This window comes from Homo sapiens, chromosome 14, assembly GCF_000001405.40.
Source record: "Homo sapiens chromosome 14, GRCh38.p14 Primary Assembly".
Lineage (NCBI taxonomy): Eukaryota > Metazoa > Chordata > Mammalia > Primates > Hominidae > Homo > Homo sapiens.
This window is the reverse complement of record NC_000014.9, coordinates 66,366,740-66,380,996: the sequence shown is the minus strand read 5'-3', so window position 1 is coordinate 66,380,996 and position 14,257 is coordinate 66,366,740. Positions and strand designations below refer to the sequence as shown.

At 41.9% G+C, this 14,257-nt stretch overlaps 3 annotated features.

Annotated features, from left to right (window-relative positions):
* Positions 2,151 to 2,320: an enhancer, noted in NCBI's record as "experimental_35465 CRE fragment used in MPRA reporter constructs". NCBI's record gives its function as "activates a minimal promoter by MPRAs in K562 erythroleukemia cells, with activity observed for both the introgressed and non-introgressed 14:66845480 variant alleles {active_cell/tissue: K562}" and the evidence as "EXISTENCE:reporter gene assay evidence [ECO:0000049][PMID:34662402]".
* Positions 2,151 to 2,329: a biological region, named in NCBI's record as "Neanderthal introgressed variant-containing enhancers experimental_35463 and experimental_35465".
* Positions 2,160 to 2,329: an enhancer, noted in NCBI's record as "experimental_35463 CRE fragment used in MPRA reporter constructs". NCBI's record gives its function as "activates a minimal promoter by MPRAs in K562 erythroleukemia cells, with activity observed for both the introgressed and non-introgressed 14:66845471 variant alleles {active_cell/tissue: K562}" and the evidence as "EXISTENCE:reporter gene assay evidence [ECO:0000049][PMID:34662402]".

The window sequence follows — 14,257 nt, the reverse complement described above, 5'->3', positions numbered from 1 at the left end:
ACAGAGACTCAGAGAAATAATTTGTCCAGGGCTTTTGATTTGAACTAAGGCAACTTTCCTCTATGCCACACTGCTTTCACTTGGGCTGGACCTGAAAGATAAGTGCAATTCAGCTATAAGGAAGAGCATCTTGGGAAGAGTACTGGGCCTAGGGGAGGGGAATGGCCAAGGAGATGGAGTGATGAATGAACATCAGCTCCTTACCATGCATGTCACACTGCAGTAGTGAATAGTGAGAAGGGGACCAGCCCAGAGGTGAATGTCCAGCCTAGATTTGATAAACCCAAATCTCCTGACAACAAATGAAATGCTCCTTTCACTGTGTTTTGGCAAAAAAACTTATTACACAGTTGGAACAAAAGATAATAGGTCTCAAAATGCAAAAGCACAATACAAGTGAATCAGTTCGTGAATGTTTAAAAGAATTGTGGGGGAGGAGAATTTGAAAGTCAAGGACTAAATCCTTGAAATGAGGTAGGGAGAAACTGAAGATAATAGCATCTATTCTCTGGTGTTACCCCAGGGTGGCACGTGTGTGTGTGTGTGTGCTGTGTGCACATGCACTGGTGCACAAACAGAGGCTCACAAGGATACTTCCTGCCCTGTTTGGCCATGGGCCCACCTGCTCTCCAGTGGCAGAGCTAATTGTTTTAGCTTTCTCTTTCTTGTCATTGGCAAGACTTGCTATTATTTTCCATTATCTAACTCCTACACAGCTCACATCCCACTTTCTCTTTCTCTGGAGTTACAAGGCTGGCTGAATCAGGTTGTGGATAGGCTGCTGCAACAGCAAGAAATATTTAAGATGATTCTGGCTAAGGTGAAATTTTGTCTTGCTGTCCAGTCTTTTTGTCTTCCAATTCTACTCTGTGTGTCTGATTTCCGAGTCTCTCCCATTCCTGAGTACTCATTTGCTCACATGGATTCTCTTCCAGTGTTGAATAGCCTCCAGAACCCAGGAACTTCCCAGGTGTAGCTCCTGGAAAGGAACACGCTCTGCCCTCCTACTCCTGTTGTAGAACTCTTGGTTTGGGACTCTATAGTGAATGTCTACTGTTTTTGTCTGCCTTGAATCCTTCCCTCCTGCTAGTAACAACTACTCTTCCCACATTGCAAGCAACTCTTGGTGAGACTTCCTATTGAATTATTATGTCCTTTCTTGATGCATACACACGTGCACGTGTGCACGTGCACACACACACACACAAACACACCCCCCAAGGGCAATCAGATACTCTCTTCAGGAATTTAAATCTCAAGCAGATTGACCCAAGGATGGAGAGTGTTTGGAGGAGTAACCTGAACTGACTGTCCAGTAGTTCTGCTATTGAGACTGCCCAAGCTGCCCTTATTTCTGGCTGCTGGAAGGTCTAAAGTTCAACTTTTCTTTAATATTTGTGAACTGCCCTGTGTCCTTCCCAAAATGTACTTTTTATTGTTCAAATTAGCTAGAGACAGAGTCTGTTGTTTGCAACCATAGAATCTTAATCAATATGGATCCTTACTTATGTGAAATCATAACTGCCCCAAGGGTAGGGTGGTGGTCACTGGGATGATGAAGCCCTTTCTGTATCCAGCCAGCAGAGATGGTTCATATGGTTGGCCTATGTTTGATCAGGGAAAGGAGACCAGTCAGGGTGATGTGGTCATCCTGGCCCTGCACACTTACTCAGCCAAGAAGTTCGCATAGCCCCACTGAACCGGCTGAGCTGCTCTGCCAGCTTCTTATCACTTACCAGTCTGGGCAGGCTTCCCTGGCAGGGGGAGAACTGCTGAGTTACATCAGACATAAATGAATCAATACAAACTAATTCCTTCACAAAAGAAAACCTAATTAGTCACACTGCTGCAGGAATCAATGGCTTCTCTCTCCTAGCAGCTAACACATTCCAATTCCTATATACAACTGCATTCTGACTCCTGTTAATAGAAAAATACATATCCATTTTCTTATTGCCATATGCTTAGGCCTTGACAAGTTTGTTTTCTAAGACAACCAATAATGGAAACTTTGTTGTGGTCTGAGAAGGGTTTTCACAGTTTAGAGATAAGTCTACTCTATGTTAGGAAATGGAGTCCTTTCACAGAAGGTGATGATCTAATCAGAGGTGGATTCTTGCTTGGCCCCCTTTGCAAGAGGGACATGCAGAGTTGGGGGGTGAAAGTGAGGGTGTGACTTCATGGTACCTTCTGGAAGACATTGTCACCCAACCTAAGGCTAAGCAACAAGCACTGTCCATATGCCTCTCCTACTTGCGGATGCTTTCTATTACTGCGGGAGACCCAAAGATGTCAAAGGCCACCTGTTAAGAGAAACTCTTTTTTTCATTCATTCATTATTCATCACTCTTCCCAGTGACACTGACAATTAAAAAGACTGCTGCTTTCTCTTTTTTGTGAGATGGAGTCTCGCTCTGTTGCCCAGGCTGGAGTGTAGTGGTGCGATCTCGGCTCACTGCAACTTCCGCCTCACAGGTTCAAACAATTCTCCTGCCTTAGCCTCCCGAGTAATTGGGATTACAGGCACCCACCACCACACCAGCCTAATTTTTGTATTTTTAGTAGAGACGGGGTTTCACCATGTTGGCCAGGCTGGTCTCAAACTCTTGACCTCAGGATGATCCACCCACCTCGGCCTCCCAAAGTGCTGGGATTACAGGCATGAGCCACAGCACCCAGCCGAGACTGCTGCTTTCTAGGGCCAGCATAGACCATTGATTACCACAATGGCAACTCACATGCTGTGAGTGGGAATACCTGTGGAACGTGGTTTGCAGATAGTTAACTGTGTGGGCTTCAACTACCTGAGTTCAAATCCCAGGGCTCTTACACTCACCAAATGTATGACCTTGGACAGGTACTTTACTTTGTCAAGCTGCACTTTCCTCACCTGCAAAAATGTGGTTTATATTGTATTTCCTTGAATCTGGAGTGCCATCATTATTTTATGTACAACTAAGGAAGAAAAAAATGCTGCCAATTAAACTATAACATGACATTGATTGTAAAATTCACCAATATTAGAGATGTTAAAATGTTAAAAACATTAGCATATTACAATTGAGAAAATAGGATAGCATCTACCTCATGGTGCCAATGTGGACTGAGATAATTCATATAAATGGATAGCATTTTGTCTGTCACACAGGAAGCCCTATATAAATGATTACTACTATTTTTACTGCCAGAAGGTGGCAGTTTGAGTAATTTCAGCAAATCATTTAACCCTATGTGCCTTATTCTCTTCATTTTAAAAATAAATGGGTAGCCATATGGTCCTGCCACCCAGAATTGCGAAGAAAAACTAATTAAAAAATGTTTTTAGGTCCTTAGCAGCTCTAAATGTGAAACACTATCAACTCTTTCTGCTATTCATCTTCAGTGTCTGGAAACTGATAAGGAAATATGCTCTGTATATTTTTTATGTATGTATTAATTTACTTGGAATTCCAAGGCTAATTTAAACTTTTAACTTGCAGTATGTATATTTCTATTGTAATTGTTGAAAAAGAGCTCTTAGTTTATTGCTTTATACTCTTCAATCTAACTCTGATTTTCCATTAAATTTTGTTTTATACTGAGAGGAGAGAAGTTACATTAATGTCGTGCTCTCCATGTTGGACAAGCCTAAAGAAATACCTGATTGCAAAATTTTGTGTCTCTGTGAAGTCCCAGAAATTTTAGATGACTGATAGGGTTCATCTCAGTTGTTTGGTGAGAAGGAAAAATAAATTCCAGGTTATTGCAAATGAAGACTAAACAGAGAGAGATTCATTTAAAGCAATTCCCAAATTGTAGTCACATAGAGTCCACTATTGGTTCCCACTCTGAGTAGCAAAGAACTAGATCAATAGGGTCAGTGGTTGTGTGAGAGAAGTTCAATTTAGTTCAGCTTTTAGTTGTTGAACCTTTAGTATGAAGCAGGCGTGGGGTAAGGCTATAGAAATAAAAAGAAATTTAAGAAAAAGTTCTTGCCAGAATTTATAGTCTGACAAGAAATGGCAATACAATGTGATAAACACTATAAAGCAACATGGGAGTCCTAAGAAGCAGCGACTAATTCTGCCTGGGTAAGCAAACGAAGACTTCAAACTTTGTATAGGTGTTTACAAAGCATAAAGTTTAGAAAAGAGGATTGCCTGCAGAGAGAACAGTGTTTGCAAAATCTCCATGTACTTAGCATGACTGCAGTGTAATGTACATTGTGCATGTTTCTGTGTGTGGGTGTGTATTGGGTGATGTTCTTATACAGAACATAGGTAGAGAAGTTAAACAGTGAGAAAAGCACATGACTGAGACTCAGGAGACCTAGACTGAGCTTTCAGAAAATAACCTTTGGAAACAATTAGATCAGGTTATTGTATTATGTAACATGTTACACTTCTCTGTGCCTCATTTTCCTCATGTTTATGGCAGGAAGATGAAGAGGAAGCGTATACCAAGATGATTTAGGAGTCAGGCTCTATGAGTTTAATTCCTAACTCTGTGATTTGGGGCAAGCTACAATACGTAACCTGTTTCCTCACTGGAAGAATGAAGAGTAATAATATCCACCTATAAGTTTGCTATAAGTTATGCATCTTGGCACATAGTAAGCCCTTAATAAATATTTGCTCTTATTATTTTTATCTGTTTTAAGATTCTGCATTTCAAAATATATTCTATGATACTTTTGGCAAGAGGAATATTAACATGTTTGTCCTTTAATTTGAGGCAGCATAGCATAGTGGTAGTAAAGAACAAAAAATGGAACCAGGAGTATTTGAAATTTAGTCTGCATCTGCCACTTGTTAACTGTGTGATCTTGGGCAGATTACTAACTTTTCTGAGCCTCACTTTCCTCATCTGTAAAATAAAGATAATGATAACACCAACTTCCTATGGTTGTTTTGAGGATTAAATGAGGTAATATGAGTAAGGTGCTTTGACAAGTGCCTGGCACAGATTAGTAAGTGTTATTATCATTATGTAAGTGTTACTATCATTATCCATATTTTTATTTTAATTTTTAAATTATAAACGGTGAGTGGGATACTTCATGGCCTCCCTAGAAGTAGCTGCTTTTCCAAGTCAGTAACTTTGTTCAGATGACAGAGCAGTCCCTGAAGAGACAGTCCTGTATTCAGTTGGGTTACACTTAATGTGTCCCACAAGCCAGTGAAATTGTGGATCACGGCTAGCCTCTGAAATGGCTCCTCTGAATTAAATGGGATGTCTTTCTCCCCCAGATTCTGTGTGGGAGGCTTATACATTTGGTTTGGTAATGAGTTTGCTTTTTGAGCCAAAGAAGAGAAGAGAATAAAAGAAGAGAGAAGGCGTGAGAGGCAATCATAGAAACCTGGAGGCTCACATTCTCCAAAATGAAAAAGAAGCCTGCATTTCTGCAGAAACAAGAGAGAAACAACTAACAATCTCAAAGCTCATTATGATTTAACTTTCAGATAGCACAAAATGACAGTAATGTGACTACTGAAGCCTGTTTTAACTATAAGCAGGACAAAGGAGTGGAAATGGAGTGTATTAGCAGTGGCATAAAGATAACCTCCTCGCTTATAGGCTGTGCATACATTAGTGCATGAATGTACTGTTAAAAGCCACTAAATCTCTCTAAAGTGGCCATTTCCCTTTCTTTGGGAAATGATTGAAAAATACTTGTTGTGTATTTTCTTGAAGCAAATTTCTGGAACCTTTTCAGACACACTCTCTGTTTTAGAAGAATGTGAACTGATGCTGATGGCAGCATCAGACAGGAAGGAGTGATGATCTCAAAGGGCACATCGCCTTGCAAAGCCAAAAGAGTACAGCAGGAGTGCATCCATTTTTTTCCCCGAAAAGGAGCATTTTCTTTTGTGTCAGATTGTTGTGGAAGATTTAAAAATAGAAGAATCTGAGTGCCCTATTTTCCCATTGACTGATAGTGTCAGTTCCTTTGCATGTCTGTCAGTCTGCTATTACTGTGATGATCACTATTATCATCTTTCTTTGACTTTTCCCTTCTAAGAAGTACAAATTATCCTTGGCATTATATTGTGAGACAAAAGTCTGAAAGGAAGCGCTAGGCGTTGATATTTGTCTCGGTTAACTGCGTAAGTTAGGAACTTTGTCATTTGATCTTGGGTATTCGAAGCCAGTGTCCATAATTATTTAACTGAACTCTTTCAATGTACACAATCCTGAGATAAGTTTTGAGAAAATCAAGGGATCTGAGGAATTTTTAAAATTTCAAGCCAACTGAATTGGCTCACTACAATGCACTTCAAAATGATATTGAGAGACAACTGCACAATTGCAACGCAGAGCAGCAGGTCTGTCAATGTCATCCAGTCAGCCACACTTGTTGAATTCAAATGAGGGTATCCAGCCTCTGGTATAGGACAATGCAAAAGAAAGAAGATATTCTTTTTTTTTTAACCCTTGAGGTGCTTACTGTGTCTTTTGTCACAACTTTCTATGGACGATAAAGCAAAAGATGGTATGAATCAGATGACCAGGCCTCAGTGCCCCTCCCTGACTCTTTACAACCTTGAGCAAGTCACTTAAATTCTTGTGGGTTAAAGCTTTTTCATTTTCAAAATGAGCAAGTGAGGAAAGATATTTTCTAATATCTCTTTCTGTTCTAAAAGTACATGATTCCAAGTGGATGCAAATTAACATGGTGTGAACAAGATGCTTTGTTCACAGATTCAGCAACATTGAGGGCATCTTAGGAGCTAAGTACTTGAATGGGCCTGGGCATGTAAAAGACAGGAACACTTTGTCCTGCTTTCAGGAGGCTTGCAGAGTAAGAAGCAAGACTGACCAACTAGCAGTTACATGCACTCTGCTCAATGTGGGCTGACTAAAGCCAGGGCAATTCCAGGGGAGGGCAGGGCTAGCTCTGAGACTGGGCAAGGGGCAAGGTAGACCTTCAGGTTGTGATGATATCTGTGGAAGGCCCCAAAACATAAGCAAAAATTCATCAGGTAGAGAAGATAGGAGGATGCCCCAGGCAAAAGGAGCAGCATTAACAAGGCTCAGAAGTGCAAGCAAACACCCCGTGCTTCAAAAGTTAACTCGAACATGAATATATTGGTAGTGGAAAGTAATGGAGACAGGAGAATGTTTGAGACTTAATTGTGAAAAGCCTTGAATGTCATGGTAAGAGCTTTTGATTTTATCTCAAAGGCATTGGAGAATCATGAAGAATAGAAGACATGATCAGATTTCTTTCAGAAAGTTCATTCAGGTGGCCCTGTGGAGTCTGAATTGAGGGACCGTGGAAGGGAGAGGAGGCTCTTAGGAGGCTATTTTGATGGTCCATGGGAGAAATGATGAGATCGTTATCTGGGGCCATGACAGCGAGAACAGGGATGAAGGACACATTTGAGAGAAAGCTCAGAGACTGAATGAACAGAATCCACTTATTCATTTATTCATCACTTGACAAATCTTTATTCAGTGCCCACTATGCCTCTGTCAGTGTAAACCTGGCACCACACAAAGAGGATATAAACACTGCTGAAATACTGAGTGGGGGAATGGTCAGAGTGGGATGAGTGAAGTGGTGCTGGTTTGGGTGGGCTTCCTGGAGGAGGTGAGGTCTGACCTGAGTTTCCACGGAAAGAGAGGAGACATGAATACATAGAAAGAGGCAGGAGAACATTTTTACGCCTTTCCATAAAAAGGAAAGAATGAAGAGATGACCATCAGGTGAGCTTGGTGAGCAAAGAGAACCTTTAGTCAATGCTAAAAATGATGGAGAGATAGGAGGGTGAAAAGACTGAGCAGAAACATCTAAATTTGATGTGCTAAGCCATGGTGAACCACTGTGGGTTTTTTAGAAAGAGAAGGGTTGTGTGGTACAATAGAGAAGATTATTGAATTAATGCTTGAAGACATAGGTTATGGCATTATCTTGCCGGGTCAGCATTCAAGTTACTTAATGTCTTGAGAGCTCAGATTTGTGTAGTTTGGATAGGAACAAAAATGTGTTGAGATGTATATTAGTCAGGGTTTTCCAGAAAGACAGAACCAATAGGATATATGGGAGAGGATTTATTAGGGGAAATTGGCTCACACAATCATAGAGGCAGATAAGCCAACTGCAAACTGGTGAACTAGAGAAGCTGGTAGCATGTCTCAGTCCAAGTCTGAAGCCCCTGAACCAGGGAAGCCAACAGTACAGCCCTTAGTCAGGCCCAAGAACCCTCAAGAGGCCACTGCTGCAAGTTCCAGAGTCCAAAAGCTGAAGAAGCTGGAGTTGGATGTCCAAAGGCAGGAAGAGGAAAAGCATTCTGCTCCCTAAGGGAGAGAAAGAGTAGAGAGAGCCAATTGTCTTCTTATTGTTCCAGCTAGGCCCCCAGCCAACTGGCGTATTGAGGGCAGGTCTTCCTCTTTCAGTCTACTGGAAACATCTTCACAGACACACCTAGAAACAATGCTTCACCAGCCCTGCAGGCATCACTCAATCTGGTCAGGTTGAAGTCTCAAATTAATGATGGTTAAGTATAGTCCACCCCTTATCAACTTACCATCTATATGCATCTTGTTAAATTATAATTTCCAATCAAAGACAATAACAAGGTCATAATTCCACCTAAAGTGAGACAACTGTCCTTTGCACAACCAGGAACACACTAATACCATCCTTGGAAGAGAAGGTAAAGTTCTTGACTGATGTTTACTCTTCTCCTGATATTCTATAAGTTAGATATCATGATGAACAATAACACAATTATTTTGTTAAACAAAAATGAGCGATACTTAAATACTGGTATAAAGTCAATAAGCCTGAAGTTACATGATAAAGGAACAAGAGAGGAAAGAAAACAAAGATATTTGCTTAATATATGTGTATATATACACAAACATATTCTTAGCAAGTGGGGAGGAAATACGAAAATTACAGTTCCCATTTCTGTACCTGGCCAGGTGGTGATAGGTGGTATTTATAACTGCCATCTTATACTACCCATTCTATATTCCCTTTGCTTTCACCAGCCCTTCAGCTAGTCATGGTTCTTAACCTGGTTGGGTGACCCAAATGTTCACTCCTGAAGGATCTGGGCCATTCAGAGTCCTTCCTGGATTGGATTGTTGGAATTTCCCATTTACTTAATCACAGGGTATGGTAATACTAAGGGGTCTCCTTTATTTCAGACATACTCTTTGATATGGTTTGGCTCTGCATCCCCATCCAAATCTTATGTTGAATTGTAATTCCCAATGTTGACCGAGGACCCTGGTGGAAGGTGATTGGATCATGGGGGCATATTTCCTCCATGCTGTTCTCGTGATAGTAAGTGAATTCTCAAAAGATCTTATGATTTAAAAATGTGTGGTACTTCCCCCCTCACTCTCTCTCTCCTGCCACCATATGAAGAAGGTGCTTGCTTCCGCTTTGCCTTCCACCATGATTGTAACTTTCCTGAGGCCTCCCAGTCATGCTTCCTGTAATGCCCGCCAAACTGTGAGTCAATTAACCTCTTTTCTTTCCTTTTTTTTTTTTTTTTTTTTTGAGACAGAGTCTTGCTCTGTTGCCCAGGCTGGAGTGCAGTGGCGCGATCTCGGCTCACTGCAAGCTCTGCCTCCCGGGTTCACGTCATTCTCCTGCCTCAGCCTCCTGATTAGCTGGGACTGCAGACGCCTGCCACCATGCCTGGCTAATTTTTTGTATTTTTAGTAGAGATGGGGTTTCACCATGTTAGCCAGGATGGTCTCGATCTCCTGACCTTGTGATCCACCTGCCTTAGCCTCCCAAAGTGCTGGAATTACAGGTGTCAGCCACTGTACCCGGTCAATTAAACCTCTATTCCTAAATTACCCAGTCTCAGGTAGTTCTTTATAGCAGTGTGGAAATGGACTAATACATTATTCCTCACCTCCACTGTGAAGCAGGAGTCCAATTTCATCTTAGCAGTCCAGGTCAATTATCCCAATCAACACCATACCTCCCTTCTTAACTTGTTGACCCAGAGATACAAGGAACCCAGAGTGACTGGGCAGCAGCCTTAACTTCCAGTTCAGTGGAATCATTGTTATATCTCCTGGTAGAAGCATTCTTCTCTCTGGAACTAAGACCTCTAGGCTAGCAGAACATGATGTTATAGGAACAAAAAGCAAAATTTTGCTAGTGGATTACTAGGGGTAATAAAGGTAACCGGTGCCACTCTCATTTCCACCCCTTTATTCCTATCTAGGGGAGAAACAGTACCATACATTGAGTGCTGATTCAGGGCATATACAGCCTTCTGGAGAACCTTGCTCCAGCCCTGTAAAGAATTTTCACCTAGCTGGTGCTGTAACTGCAACTTCAAAAATCATTCATTCCACCATTCTATCAAGCCAGCTGCTTCAGGATGATGGGGAACACAGTAAGATCAGTGAATTCCATGAGCATAATCCATCACCACACTTCTCTGGGTGTGAAATGTGTTCCTTCATCAGGAGCAATGCTGTGAGTAATGCCATGATGGTGGCTAAGGCATTCCTTAAGTCCACAGGTGGTAGTTTGGGCATAAGCATTGTGTGCAGGGAAGGAAAATCCATATTCAAAGTGTTTATTCTACTAAGGACAAAATGCTGCCCCTTCCATGATGGAAGTAGTCCAGTGTAATCAACCTGCCTCTAGGTTAGTTTGCTGATCACCCTGGAAAATGGTGCCATGTTGGGGGCTCCATGTTGGTCTCTGCTACTGGCAGATTAGGCATGCAGTGATGCCTGTAGCAAGGTCAGCCTTGGTGAGTGGGAGTCCATGTTGCTGAGCCCATGCATAGTCTCCCTGCCACCATGGCCACTTTGTTCATGAGCCCATTGGCTGATGACAGGGGTGGTTGGGAAAGAGGCTCACTGGTGTCCACAGAATGGGTTATCCTGTCTACTTGATTATTAATATCCTCCTCTGCTGAGGTCACCCTTTGTTGAGCATTGACATGGGACACAAATATCTTCACATCTTTTGCCCACTTTGAGAGGTCTGTCTACATACCTCTTCCCCAAATTTCTTTGCCACCAACTTTCCAATCATGTTTCTTCCAAGTCCCTGACCATCCAGCCAAACCATTGGCTACAGCCAGTGAATCAATATATAATCACATGTCTGGCCATTCTGTGCCCCCTGTTCAAGCAAAGTGCACAAACAGGTGCATTGCCCAAAGTTCTGCCCATTAGGAAGAATTCCCTTCACCACTGTCCTTCAAGGATGTCCCAGAAAGGAACTGTAGTGCTGCAGCTGTCCACTTTTGGGTGACGCCTGCATATCATGCAGGACCATTTGTAAACCAGGCCTGATCCTCTCTTCTTCTGTGAACTGATCATTAGGTACTACCCATAAGGTCCTAGGTGCAGGCTGGGAGAGAGAAGGCAGTAAAGCAGGAGTAGGAATTATGGGCATTTGAGACACTTCTTCATATAACTTACTTCAGGACCTGCTTGGGCCTGATCAAATACATACCGTTTCCGTTTGATAACAGAGTGCTGCTGTGCATGCACAACTTTATGGCTTGGTGGGTCAGATAACACCTAGTTTATGATAGGCAGCTCAGGTCACATGTTAACTTGATGGCTCATAGTCAAGCATTCTGTTTCTACTAAGGCCCAGTAGCAGGCCAAGAGCTATCTCAAAAAGAGAGTAGTTATCTGTGGATGATTGCAGGGCCTTACTCCAAAATCGTGAAGGCCTCCACTGTGATTCACCCATGAGGGCCTGCTAAAGGTTCCAGACAGATCCCTGTCTGCCACTGACACCTCGAGCACTATTGGATTTGCTGGGTCATATGGCCAAAGTGGCAGAGCAGCTTGCATAGCAGCCTGAACCTGTTGCAGTCTTCTTCTGTTCTGGGCTCCACTCAAAACTAGCAGCTCTTTTTTTTTTTGTATCACTACATAAATGGGATAGAGTAACACACTCAGAGAAGGAATGTGTTGCCTCCAAAATCCAAATAGGCCTAGTAGGCTTTGTGCCTCTTTCTTGGTTATAGGAGGGGCCAGATGCAACAACTTATTGTTCACTCAGGAGGGATATCTCAGCAGGCCCAATAACACTGGACCCCTAGACACTTCACTGAGGTAGAAGTGAACTTAAGTTGGATTTATTTTCCACCCTCTGACATGCAAATGTCTTACTGATAAGTTCACAGTGGTTGGTGGAAGGGAGCAAAAAAGGTGTTGCATTGTGCTGAGATGGGAACTTAGCTAAGAGTCAACTGGAGTAGTCCTTTAGAAAATGCATATAAAGTGCATTTCTCACTGTACAAACCATTGGCCCAGCATTCCATAGAATGTGCAAAACATGGAATAGACATTGTATAGACACTGGAAAAACAGGAATAAGAAGTGGCACGGAATTGGAATTCTCAGCCTGCTGAGCACAGGGAGGCAGAGATACTGTTGAAGAATAGCTGGGTACTTGCTTCCACTTTCTGCCCTCCTATCTCATCCAACTTCTCCCTCTGAATGTGGCCTTGCCTATGCTGGGTTTGGCTCAAGAACCACAAAGATGATGGCTAGCTGGAAGTATTTCCTATAAAAGGCATGGATCGTATGTGCGTATTCTTGAATAGTGATGTGAGTGTGGGTATAAAAGGATTAGGCCTGGGCAACAATGCCCAGCTTCTCTGGGTGTTCTGGGCACCAAGGAAAGCTGTGCTGAGAATTGCTCCTCTGATTCAGCTCCAGGTGGCTTCCCTGCTGCTTCTGGCATTCTTGGACAAATAAAGCAGGCATGGAAGATTACAACTTAAGTGGTTGTGGTTTCTCCCTGCTAATTTAAATCTACCTGAATGTTTCATCAGTTTTTGCCCTCGGTGGATTTACAGTCTAATGGGAAGATAGACATATAAACAAACAAGTTAAAATATGACAAGTGGTCTTCAGTCCTGCAACTAGCAGGATCATGATAGAGACCCCAAATAAAGTAATTTACTCTGCTGAGTTTGGTTGTATCCTAATTTAAGGGTCCCAACAATTGAGCTTCTTTTTGTTTCTTTCTAAAACATTGCACTGAGCCCTAACTAAGTGGAGGTGCCCTGGTTGCCCAGGAAAAAATATTATCCCAGGGGCTTGAGCCTAGGGAAATGTGATTCTCCTTTCCCCCTACAAAAGTAATCCTGGATTTCTGTGCTTAGAGTGACACTTCCTAATCTGCCTGTGTATCTTCCCATCTTTCTCTGTACTGGCCCTTCTTGGGCTGCTGATCTAGTGGAAGCTGATTGATTAAAATAACCTTGTCTTCTGTAGAGGCTTACCCAGAGGCCAAGCACCAAGCTGGGGAGGCTGGAAACCTGAGCTCCAGAGAATCTCTGAATTGGAAGAGATCTCAGAGGTCACTAAATTCATTCCCCACAAGAAGTTTAAACCTATTCTGTTATTATGAAAATGATATGAAAATGAAGGCAAGTTGCTTATCCTTTTGGATGTAATTCACTCATCAGGTAAAAAGGACTATCTGTTCCTTTTTCCTCAAAAGGCTTCTATGAGGATGAAACACTATTTGGGAAGACATCTTTGCAAAATAAAGAAGCACTAAATACAATACACAATTTAATTATCAATTCTTTCTGTAGCTTCTTCTAGCCTCCAGTCTCTGCTAGCCATTTTTAGTTTCATCAGCCATCTTGAAATGTTCTCCTTATATTCTTTCAATATCAGTCAAACTACTGATGGACAGTTGTAATTCATGTTCTTCCGAAGGGACACCTGAAGTCAGCTTTTGCTTCTAACCAGGTACGCAAAGCTAGATTTTTTAATTTCTTTTCTGAAAAGGGAAATGAAAGCCTCAATATAAAGGTTGTCTGGCAACCAGATAAAAGAAAGAATTTCTTTCAGTCTTTCCAAGAAGAACAGAATGGAAGTCTTGAAATATAAATTATTTTTTAGTGGTGTCTTGAAAAAGGTGTTACTCTTCATTATCTGCCTTTTTTACCCTTTTTCCTGAATATGGCCTATGCAAGCAATTAAACCATTTTGTATCTTTAAAATGAATACAAATGGAGATATTTTTAGGAGATGGAAGGAACCTTAGAGGTGTCCTGGTTTATCCATTTAGTTTCTGAAGCAGAGAAGTGGGATTTAGAATAGGTGAAAGATTTCCTCATGATTTCTAGCTTTTCAGTGCTGAGCCAAGCCCAAACCTAGGGTTCCTAACTCCCAATCCAGGGTCCTTGCCGCTAGGACAGAGGTAAGATATAAACACAAATAACTACATTGAGGTATTCTTACACTAGTATCAGTCCTCATTGTCCAACCTGGTTGTAAGTGTGGCTGAAGAAAAGACCCCAGG